A 12,368-nucleotide genomic window follows, 5' to 3' on the forward strand; every position below is an offset into this window, starting at 1 on the left:
CAACGGAAACTAGATAAATTTTAAGAAACAAGTCTTGTGCCTGATGCATGGGCCACATAAAAAGTTCACCAAAATATCTTATGCTTTAATCAGAGACATTCAAACTGCAAACCAGGGCAAGAAGTGACATTTTTTTAATGCTGTAGACAGCCTTTCCCAAGACAATGAGGCAAGACTCCATATGATGACACTCCTACCCCTCTTGATGCCTATCTTTTTGGCTTGACAAAATAATGCTGTAATTAAATTTCACAATCAGTAACTGCTATAAGTAACTTGACAAAACCTGACCTAAGAAATCCTTTTATTCCACTAGTAACTTTAGCAATATCTGTAACACAACTTTTTGTTCAAAATGTACTGGTGGTCCTTTCTGTAGAGTTGGCATTCTTTGCTTTAATTCAACCCAGTTCTAAAATACTACTCAATGGCTACAATTAGTCTCATCCAGTACCCACAATGGTCTTTTGATTTGTTTAGTTGCCATCAGGCTTGTGTTCTGTTTCAAAACGATTGTACACACTAAATTTATTATATTAATTATTTTTTGTGTTATGATTTTTAAGCCTTGTTTTTATTGCTTGTCTAATCTTTGTAAAGCCAACTCTCTTAACACTTTGACATGGCTGCTAATACCTATGGAATTAACAAGATGGAACTCAGTGCTGGACTTCAGGCAAACCTGCCCTGAGAAAATTTTCCTTTCTGTCCTCTTTGTTACTCAAATGTGGCCCAGCTCCCTGACATAGACCCTCTATATCTTCCCCACAATGTGGGATAGAGACAACCAGGACAGGTTTGTCCAGGCCTTGAGGGACAATTAAGCCTACCTTCAAGATGATTGATTAGCTTTGCTGTCAGAGAAAGATCTTGATCAAAGGGGGGAAATGTGAGCATTGATTATACAAAATTGGATCATTCTTGTTATACCCAATTAAATCAGAGTTGAGGGACAGAGGGGAAAAACACTTGGGGCGCGTGGTAGCTGTTCTAATAATTAAATTTTCCATAAGCCCAGCTGCTTAAAATGGCCTAGTGTAATCCTAAGACTGGTTTTACTTAATAGTTGCTAAAGCAACCTGCTATGACTCTGACTAGTTTTACTCACCACTATCACTCACCACTCAGCTTGCCAGTTCCCCAAAACTTTACTAGTGTCAATGAGCTTTCTTTAAAAACAATACATAATAACATTTTTTTCTAATAAAACTCCCAACCTTCTCTTTATTATTAGAACAGACTTTATTATTTGAAGACCACTTGGTCAGTATGTATGCCCTGAATTATAATTCTTTCTTCCCCAATAAAAAGTAAAATGAGAAATTTATCGTTATATTTTATTTTTGACTTTGACATTATTGCTATCTTCAATTTTACTAAGCTTTTCTTTTGTAGTGTTTACTCTGATGTTATTCTCATCCAGTGTATTTTTCATATAAAACATTGTAGCTTCCATCTCTGTATGACTGATTTGGGTCATCAGAAATGATGACCACTGCTTCCTTTTTCTTTAAAGTCTTATATGCTTTCCTTTTGTACTTTCCTACTTCTGCCAAAGTGTTGCCGCCTTATATATCACATACATTATTATTTATGGTATGATTACAAGAAAATCTTGAAGAACAGTTCATGTGCAGAACAGTTACAGATACAATCAAATCTCACCAAAAATTCACTTGTGTTAAATGCAGAATTTTGTTGTTATGAGGCTAACAAAAAATGATAACTTTTATTTGGTCAGTAAATAAGATCTTTCAAAAATATCTTTCATGTTTTTGCTTAAAATGTTCAATCTTTCTTGCAGTTTTTAGAATTTATGACGTGAATATAATAACTTTAAATTGTTTACTAATTCACTTATCTCTGTTTCAATTTTTTTTTTCTCATTAGTCTTATTTTCCTGTCATTGCATGCCTGGTATTATTTTATTGAATTCTAGACATTGTCAGTTTTACTTTTTTGAGAGCTAGATATTTTTGTATTCTTAAAAATGTTTTTGAGTTTTTCCTGGCATGCAGTTAAGTAGCTTGCAAACAGTTTGATATTTTCATGTCTTACTCTTAAACTTTGTTAGGCAGAATCAGAACAGTATTTAGTCTAAGGTTAATTTTCCCCACTGTTGAGGAAAGATCTTAGTACTCTACCCTGATGTCACATTAATCTTGAAGTTTTCCACTCTGATTGATATCACTGTTCCATGCCATATGAGCACTGAGCACTGTTAACTCTGATTTTTTAACGTGTCTTCCCTAACCTCGGATAGTTTTCTTACACGCATACAGTGATCAGGTTGAGAACTGTGTACATAAGGAAGCCTTCTGAAAACAGGAGTTCTCTCTGTACAGCTGTTTTCCAGTAATTTGCCCTGCGGACTAGGCATCTGATCACACTGGACTCCCACATTTGCTTCTTCTCTTAGGGATATAGCTAGGCACTATCTGTGCTTTCTTTGCAGGGAAGAAACTTTCTTTAGGCTATAAGCCAGGACAGTTGTAGGGCTTAGCTTGTTTCTGTTTCACAGAAATGGATGTTAAGTGTCTTGAGAACCCTTGTTTCTTTGTATTTTGACCAATTTTTTTAGTTGTTTCAGTCAGAAAAGTAAATTCATTCCCTGTTATTCAGTCTTGTCTGAAGCAGTAGCCTTAGTTTTTGTTTCAGTGAAATGATTAGCCTATGACTTGGTAAGACTTACATAAAACCTTATTTGAACTTATATTGAGAACTTCAAAATTTTATTAGTCTTAATTTTGTACAGGTTTAGTGTATTTTAGAAAGTGCATAGGGAGTATAGTAAAGAATATAGAAAGGAATAATAGTAAAACATACTTTTCTGAAGGAGTCTATGGATGTTTTGTTTTTGTTTTTGTTTTTGTTTTTGTTTTTTTTGAGATGGAGTTTCACTCTTGTTGCCTAGACTGGAGTGGAATGGTGTGATCTTGACTCACTGCAACCTCCTCCTCCTGGGTTCAAGTGATTCTCCTGCCTCAGCCGCCGAGTAGCTGGGATTACAGGTGCCTGCCACCATACCCAGCTAATTTTTGTATTTTTAGTAGAAACAGAGTTTCACCATGTTGGTCAGGCTGGTCTCGAACTCCTGACTTCAGTGATCCACCCACCTTGGCCTCCCAAAGTGCTGGGATTACAGGCGCAAGTCACCGCACCTGGCCGGAAGTTGCTTGTTTGTTTTCCTCATCCTGGGCTCCATAGGCATGGAAACCTTTTTAATGTAATGGGATACTTTTAAGGAATATTTTAACTGATTCACTTATCAAAATAAGACATTCACATCAAACACAACTTGTGACATGAGTTGTGTTTGTTGTAGTTTTCATGTTCTATTTTAAAAGTTTTAAAAATAACTATTTTTCAGGCATATTAATGAGGATAAGAGAAAAACAGAAGCTCAAAAGCAAATTTTTGATGTTGTTTATGAAGTAGATGGATGCCCAGTAAGTATTCTTCTTTAACAATTATTAATTTATTTTCTTCTTGTTAATGAGGTTTCTGTGGTTTTAATATAAATAATATCTTGGCACTACTTTCTTTTAAATTACAACTTCTTAAAAATTACTTGATACCAAGTGATCTCTTTTGTTATATTTTCAACCTATACAGGCTAATCTTTTATCTTCTCACCGAAGCTTAGTACAGCGGGTTGAAACAATTTCTCTAGGTGAGCACCCCTGTGACAGAGGAGAACAAGTAACTCTCTTCCTCTTCAATGATTGCCTAGAGGTAAAGATGTACTTCACATAGTATAATAACACTACTGATTTTTGTAAGTTCCCTGAATATTTAAAACCAAGCTTTAATTGAAGAGTAATGTAGAATTTTAAATAAACTCAAGTAATCTTTTTTTAAAAAAATCGAGGACAATTTATGATTTAATACTGTTAATAGAATGCTTTTAGAGGAAGGTCTAATAAGAAGTGTAAGTTTTCATGACTTCAAATCTAAGTTAAAATGAAAATTTATTTCCATGCAAATAAATGCTTAGGTCAAGAAATCTGATAACTTCTTGTTTCTATGTATATTTATTCAAGATTTGTAAAATAATTCTGAGTTTTTTGAAATTTCAGTAGATTTTTTCCAATAATGATGTGGTTGTATTTTGTTGAAGAGGGAGATAACTTGATAATTTACTATTATAAATTCTTTATGATTCCTTGATTCTTCTTAAATCAGCAGGTTTTAGAGTGAATGAGGGGTCAGGTGGGGTATAATGAATCTAATTCTAAAATTCTTATTCAAGTTAGATTTTCTTTTTGTATTACCCCTGCAAGCAAATTGAATTACATGTGTGTGTTTTAACTTGTTCATCCCTCTAATATGTATTTTTAAACAACAGTAGTGAGGGATAAAAAGAAGTGCGGTTTTCCTTCATCTCAGAAGAGAAAAATGTTCATTTTGATAAAACAGACATTAATAAGATGACTCATTTGACTTTTCTGTCACTGGAAACTTTCTGTTACCTTCATCAAAATGATTAAGGAGTTTCCTTTTCTTTTCTTTTCTTTTTCTTTTCTTTCTCTTTCTCTGTTTCTGTTTCTGTTTCTTTTCGTTTTTCTTTTTTTTTTCGACAGGGTCTTACTCTCATTGCCCAGCTTGGAGTGCAGTGGCAAGATCACAGCTCACTGCAGCCTTGACTTCCTGGGCTCTGGTGATTTTCTTATCCCAACATCGCAAGTAGCTGAGACTATAGACACTCGCCACCACACCAGTCTAATTATTTTTAGTAGAGACTGGTTTTGCATGTTGCGCAGGCTGGTCTCAAACTCCTGGACTCAAACAATTTACCCACCTCAGCCTCCCAAAGTGTTGAGATTACCATTGGGATTACAGGCGTGAGCCACTGCACCTGCCTCCTTTTTCTTTAAAGTCTTATATGCTTTCCTTTTGTCCTTTCCTACTTCTATCAAAGTATTGCCTTCTTATATATCATATACATTATTATTTATAGTATAGAATACAAGGGAATCTTAAAGAGCGGTTCATGTGCAGAACAGTTACAGGTATAATAAAATCTCACCAGAAATTCACTTGTGTTAAATGCAGAGTTTTGTTGTTATGAGGCTAAATGAAAAATACTTTTTTTTGGTCAATCATGTTGCAAAAAGCACAAAAGTAAAGACAGTCAAACTACTGTACACAATTGACTGTCTCCTGAAGTGAGAAAGTCAAAAAATCATGAGACAGATAATTCTCAACTACCTGTTTCCCTCATAAAAAGGACTTTAGCCTGCCCTGATTGAGAACAGATGCTAGGCAGAGTCAATTTTCAATTATATTTTATCTGGATTCGCATCATCATGGGGTTTTACTGTATATAGTTTCTCTGTACTTTATTTGTTTGTTTCCATTAAAGCTTTTATAGGTTTTTCCTGTTGGAGTCCCTAGGTCAGCTTGCTCCATTCATCTAATAGGTTAGATTATCTTTATTTCTTTGCTAATCCATTCTGGTTTTTATCCCTTATTCCTGAGAGCTATGGCTTACTTTAAATTTTTGATCTTATATCCCCTCCAGATTCCTCGCAGTCTTCTGTAATTGGTTCATTGACTTGCCATTCACTTTAATTTCTGGTATTGGTCTCCTGTAGCTCCCAAGTCCCTGGCTTCTCATTTTCCCTACCTTCTTGAATCTATTGATTTTTTTTTTGTTCTATCCCTTTTAGCCTCCCTGTCTTAGAATCACTTCAACAAAAACTGCTTTATTTATAACATTAAATTTGGACTTCAGAATTCATAATAAATATAAAATAAAAACTTATAATCTTAAATAAACTTATTCTTTAGCTTGTTTGTTTAGGAAAAATAAACAAAACTCTTAGTAAATTGGCAATGGAAATTATGGTACATTCTTAACCTGATAAAAACCTATAGCCATCATCCTATTTAATAATAAATGGTAGAAACATTCAAAATGGGTAAAATCTATGTTTTCTTAATGACAGATTATGTTATACTGAAACTAATTTGGGATTTAAGGATATATTTAACTTTTAAATGTTTTATCTGTATTTTAAGGGTTTTTTTTAAACTCTGTACTAGCATTTGTCATCAAATTAACACTTGTTATTGTTTTTCCTTTCTAAAAATTAAGCTTAAAATCATTTAATTGTTTTGCTTAGCCAACTGTTCCTCTTCTCCTGAATTCTAGGAGTTTCATTTAAGATTCTGTCATTCCTTGATCCTGTCGCTTCTCATCATGCTTCTAGTTCTTTCATACCTCTGGGACCTTTTGCAAAATATCCCTTGGCCTTTTTTCCTGACTTTTGAACTCTTCTTATATAAACATGAACATTTCTGCTATACAATTACATGTTTGACTTTTGTTACATAGTAACTCTGCTTATAACAACTTTGTAACGAATAATAACTAAATAAGTTATATATAGATTTATGTGATTAGTGCTATTTTATTTTTTAAGTATTTGGTCCTTTTTCTTCATTTTATTGACTGATACTTTTTTATTTTCTATAATCAGATAGCAAGAAAACGGCACAAGGTTATTGGCACTTTTAGGAGTCCTCATGGCCAAACCCGACCCCCAGCTTCTCTTAAGCATATTCACCTAATGCCTCTTTCTCAGATTAAGAAGGTATTGGACATAAGAGAGACAGAAGGTATGCCGGTCGGATACATTCTTGGTTATATAAAAATAGTTTATATTCATTGTAGGTTTAATTTACTCCATTTTGGCTTTTTTAAATTGGTAAATTATCTTTAAATATAGTTGGTCAGACTGCTAAAGTAATTGTTCTTGCACCTCTATCCCATCTCCATCTCTAGGAACAGAACTGACTTTTTGTTTTCTCAAATGAAAGTACTATCTCAACCTATAGGATACCCTCATCTGTTAAAGGTCAAAGAGCTTTTAAATGGCTATGTATTAAAATAGCACCCTAGCCTAGCCTATTGCCACACCAAAATTTATTTTTTTGGTTCCTTCAGAATACAAAATAACCAGTCTGTTACCTGCACCCCTCATCTTAACACTTTCACTGTTGGCCAACAGTTGCATTTTTAGGGCTATGTTTAAGGTACGGGTCAGGAATAGATGTGGGTGCAATAAATAAACTCAGAGTAACTGGTAGACTTGATATGGAGTCATATGTGTATTAAGGAATGTTTTACTCTAAACTTTGGTAGTGTTACAGAGCAGGTTCTCTGAAGGCCTGAAATTGCTGAAAATTTATACCTACCTACAACAGTGTCATCTGTTTAATTGACACCCAGTGGTGTATGTGCATGGCCATATTTTGGATGTTAGGCATATGTTTTTACAATATTTAGCTCTTTCCATTACTGATTCCTCTAATAATGAAAGGTTTCAGTTTGTGAGAAATTATTCTTTTTTTTTTTTTTTTCCTTTATAAGAAATGATTCTTTCTTTGTTTTTTGTGGGTTTTTTTTTTTTTTTTTTTGAGATGACGTCTTAGTCTGTCACCCAAGCTGGAGTGCAGTGGCGCAAACTTGGTTCACTGCAGCTCCCGCCAGGATTCTCCTGCCTCAGCCTCCTGAGTAGCTGGGATTACAGGCGTGTGTTGTCATGCCTGGCTAATTTTTTTGTATTTTTAGTAGAGACGGGGTTTCACCATGTTGGCCGGGCTGGTCTTGAACTCCTGACCTCAAGTGATCCACCCACTTCGGCCTCCCAAAGTGCTGGGATTACAGGTATGAGCCACTGCACCCCGCCAAGAAATGATTCTTAAAGAAAACTTGAACAGCAACTTCCTGCTCTTTTCACTTAGTTGACAAATTCTGGATTTATTAAAGGTTACATAGTATAGTTGTCCCTTGGTATCCACGGGGGACGGTTCCTGGACCTCCCTTGGTTACCAAAATCTGGGATGCTCAAGTCCTGGATGTAAAATTGCATAGTGTTTGCATGTAACCTATACACATCTTCCTATGTACTGTAAGTCATTTCTAGGTTACTTATAGTACCTACACAGTGTAAATGCTGTGTAAACAGTTGTTATACTATATTGTTTAGGGAATGATGACAAGAATAAAAAGTCTGTACATTTTCAATACAGATACAATCTGTTTTCTACTGTTTTTTTCTACTATTTTCGGTCAGCAGTTGATTGAATCCACAGATGCAGACCCACAGATACGGAAGGCTGACTATATATTTGTTTTAAAAATCTTCATTTTTGGATTTTAATTATGGCAGACTTTGTTTAAAATAGGTTGTATTTTAGCATCTTGATCGTGCAACTTTTGTAACACTTAATATTTTTATCATAGAAAATATTAAATGACATGGATAATACTGTTTACTTAATGTCATTAACTTATCATCATCATTAGTTCCTTACGTGGTATACTATATTGTGTTTTCAGTACTTCAACTTAATATGGTGATGTTCTTTGTCTTATTAAAAATAGGACAAGGAAAGTGGAGAAGTGATAGTTCATTTCATTGGAATTTCATTGCTCTGAGGGAACTAAACTTGCATACATCTGTCATTTTCCAAGGAGTGACACTTAATGTTTATGGTTATTCTGGAACCCTAGATTGCCATAATGCTTTTGCCTTGCTTGTGAGGCCACCAACAGAGCAGGCAAATGTGCTACTCAGTTTCCAGATGACATCAGATGAACTTCCAAAAGAAAACTGGCTAAAGATGCTGTGTCGACATGTAGCTAACACCATTTGTAAAGCAGATGCTGTAAGTTCTTAAAACAGTATTATAATGAAAGTTTAAATTTCATGACAGTGCATTCAGACTAAACCTGTACATTTTTAATGACTTGTTTATTATGAATGGAGAGTTTTAGTTTTGTGTATATTAAAAAAACTGATGTAATAAGTTGTTTTAGAAAATATTTTATATAGTGTAGGTACACAAAATATTATTTGAGTTCTTGGCTTACATAAGGTAGGCCCTCATAGTCTTATAGCCCCTGTGGCTCTGATTCAGTGAAGATTTTGGGACTTCTTGTAATGTACCCTGTGATTTTTCATTGATACTCTTAGACATGGCTAAAAATTAGAGAGTATTTAGAGATGGGGTTTCACTGTGTTGCCCAGGCTGGTCTTGAACTCTTGAGCTCAGGCAGTCTGCCCACCTTGGCCTCCCAAAATGCTAGGATTACAGGCGTGAGCCACCGTGCCTGGCCAAAAAAAAAAAAAAATCTTATTGAAAGCAAGTTGAAAATGAAAGTTGCCAATCTATTTTTCTCATGTGAACCTCTTAAAAATGAAATGCTATCATAAATATATAATTATCATTATACTATACAGATTAAAGTGAAAATAGATGAGAGAATCAAAATAGGGAAGTTAAATGACTTGCCTGAAATCAGGTATCCCTGGATGAAATCCAGGTCCCTAAAAGATAATTTGATTTCTTCCTCTCTATATATGAGAGAGACACATGTGATAGACAGATATAGACCTCTTACTCTTTGCACAAATGACATAGATTGAAGAGAATATATGGATATAATAGATGACCCTTTTCGGTACAATGGTACTGTAACTGAGATTGCATTGGGTGTTTCTGTGGGAATGAAACATGTAATTACAGTTAAGTGTGAAACCTTGGAAGACATTTAGGTTTAATGTGGTTTATAAAGTAAGTATTCATTGATGAAAACCTCCTTCCAAAGTATTTAGAACAATAATCAGACTTTTTGTTTGTGTGTGTGTGTGTTTAGATTTCTATGGACCAATAATATGTTCTTATAAATAAAAAATTGTTGCACAAAAGATTCAGAGAGGGAAATACAATGCTAACAAATACAATAGAATGCTAGCTAGAAAAATGATGGAGACCACTTTTGTTATAAATCTTTCAAAACTGCTCATTGTAAGGTTTTTTTTTGTAGGTATCCATCCACTTTTTCTAGGTATCCATATATAAAATGGTTTTATCTGTAGAAGTTCCTTAATGCAGAAATTACTCCTGCTCTTATCAGAATGTCAGACTAGATAGTTTATAGAGTCCTTTCCAAACTTATAACCCTAATACTGAAATGAAACATTAACAGAAAATTTTTCTTATAATCTATTGAATTACTAGCCACATGATGGCTAATAGTACTAGAACTGAAATATAATAACATATGGAAGAAATTCATAAGTAAAATTAGCCACAAGATGGCAGCAAACGTTTAACTATGTTCTGACTTATCCTTACACTACAAAATTCTTTCAATCTATTGAAATTTTGTTCTTAAGAAATACGTTTGTAAATTCAGGTACTCGGTGACTTTGGTTGAGCCCTTTCCTGCGTTTAAAGTTCTACATATAGTAAATGTTTATAAAGCCCTGAGAATTTTTCCTGTGAAGATAATGTGTGTGTATATCTACACACACACACACACACACACACACACACGCACACACACACGTGAAAGATGTAAAAAGATATAAAAATCTCTGATTCTTTGAATTAGTAATTTTTGTTTTTGGTACCCTGTATATATATAATTTTTTGGTACCCTAAGTAACCTGAGCTTTCTTAATTAAAAGAGTAAAATAAGCACAACTAATAAGCACAACTATTTTATTCTATACTATTTCATTTGTCGTGTCCGCTCATTAATGATGTAAGAGTTAAAATTATCAGGCTGAAAGAAAAGTTAATCTGATACCATTAAGTTTGAACCTAAGGCCAAGAGCATGACTGACTGATTCTTGGTCGAAGCATCTTAATCGACTTTCTCCCCATGGATGTCATGTCCCATATTTTGTTATTTCAGAATCTAAGGATTAAAGTTTAAATCTATTGAAGATCTTATGTCTCAGAATCCTTATGTATGTATTTTTGGTCTCTTGCCAACATGTAACCTTTAATTGCATGGTCTGTACTCTAACATTCATATATTGCCTAAGATAAGCTGGTAGCTTTGTGGAGGCCATTATGATTTCTGACCTCTAATGTCAGAAGTATAATTTTATTAATAAGTAAATTTAAGCAACGATAACCTTTCCCGAAGTTTGGTTAGTTTAAAAGTAACTTGATAATTAAATGCCATGTGCTACAATTTAGTACTTTTGCCGCTACCTTTATATTTCTTTTGAAATTTTTCAAAACTTTTCAAAACTTATCCTACAATGGTTAAATAAATCACCATTGGCTACTTAAGAGTTGCAATCTTCATTCTGAGTTTTTAAACTTGTAAGTAGAATTTCTAACTGCATGAGAAATAGACCAACGATTGGACATATATTAAAAGTTTGTGCTTGTATGCCAATAATATTTATAATGAAGTTAGTATGATTTGTATTTAAAACTATAATTATTCTTCCATTTATTAGGCATACCTAGTAAGTTGTTAGTATAAATGTCTGTTATTGATACCACTTTAATTTGGCCAAATCAGAAGCTCTAAGTTATAGAGTTTGAGGAAAACACTGAGGCACAGGCTAAAGGGAGGGGACACGTGATAGTAGATAGGATCTGGGGGTTTGAAGACTAGGGTAAGAGGAGAGCTTAGGGAAAGGGGAGAAGTGTCTCATAACTCACGAGTAAACAGGTTAATTGGCTTAAGATGTCAAATGCTAGAAAATTTCCTGGGAATTAACACCCATGAATAGGATTTCAAAATCTATAGCTGAGGCTCAGTTTCTCCTGAAATTAATATTATATATCTCAGTGGGAAAGATTGACTACTACTTTTTAATCTTGAACTCAGCAGGTCTGTCTTCAGGTACATGTGAATTTGGAGTTGATTGAAAAACTCCTGCCCTTCCAAAGCTTCTTTAATGCTTGACATACTTTGAATAAGTCAGAAAATGTTTTTGGAATTATAGTAAGTATCTATTAAAAATGTGTGTTCTCAAGTCCAGCAGAACTTAAAAGTAAATAAAAATAAAAATGAGTTTTGGCTAATCTATCAATTTTACTTTTATTTTATTTTATTTTTTCGTCCTTGTCCTGGTACATATTATATTTTAGAAATTTAGGGAAATAGACTAAAAAGCAGAAAGTTTTTTGTCTTCGTTGTTTGTTTTTAAAGAGAGAATGAGAATTATTGAGAAAGAATGAATAACAAATAAACCTAGGACTACTGAAGATAAGTTTCCCCGACTTTGCACTTTTGCCTGTGATTTACCCTATCTACCTTCCTCTGTGCGGAGAGCACTAAAGGAAGTACTTCATATTTGTATCTTAGCAAAAATAATATATTTTATTATATTCTTAGCCACTAGTGAACTAGCAATATGTTCACCCTTTCAGTCATTCTGAACTCAGAATCTTCTAGAAAGGTAAAAAATCTTGTATCTATCTTTCCCTCCCCTAAGTCAGAAGCAGTTTGTTAGTTCATTGAGAGAAAGCATGAAGCCCCTGGTTCCATTTTTAGTTCATTGATGGTTATTAATACTTAGTCATAGTTAAGATAACAATAG

General features: G+C 33.9%; 1 protein-coding gene across 48 annotated transcripts in view; it reads left to right on the forward strand.

Moving 5' to 3' along the window:
* Positions 1-12,368, forward strand: part of ECT2 (epithelial cell transforming 2) — a 78,540-nt gene that overhangs the window by 48,520 nt on the left and 17,652 nt on the right. For all 48 annotated transcript variants that reach the window (XM_047447621.1, XM_047447633.1, XM_047447622.1 and 45 more), the window contains 4 exons: positions 3,371-3,449; positions 3,616-3,735; positions 6,486-6,624; positions 8,525-8,679. In XM_047447621.1, the coding sequence (XP_047303577.1) occupies positions 3,371-3,449; positions 3,616-3,735; positions 6,486-6,624; positions 8,525-8,679 (493 nt within the window). The remainder of the gene's footprint in view (positions 1-3,370; positions 3,450-3,615; positions 3,736-6,485; positions 6,625-8,524; positions 8,680-12,368) is intronic.

This window comes from Homo sapiens, chromosome 3, assembly GCF_000001405.40.
Source record: "Homo sapiens chromosome 3, GRCh38.p14 Primary Assembly".
Taxonomy (NCBI): Eukaryota; Metazoa; Chordata; class Mammalia; order Primates; family Hominidae; genus Homo; species Homo sapiens.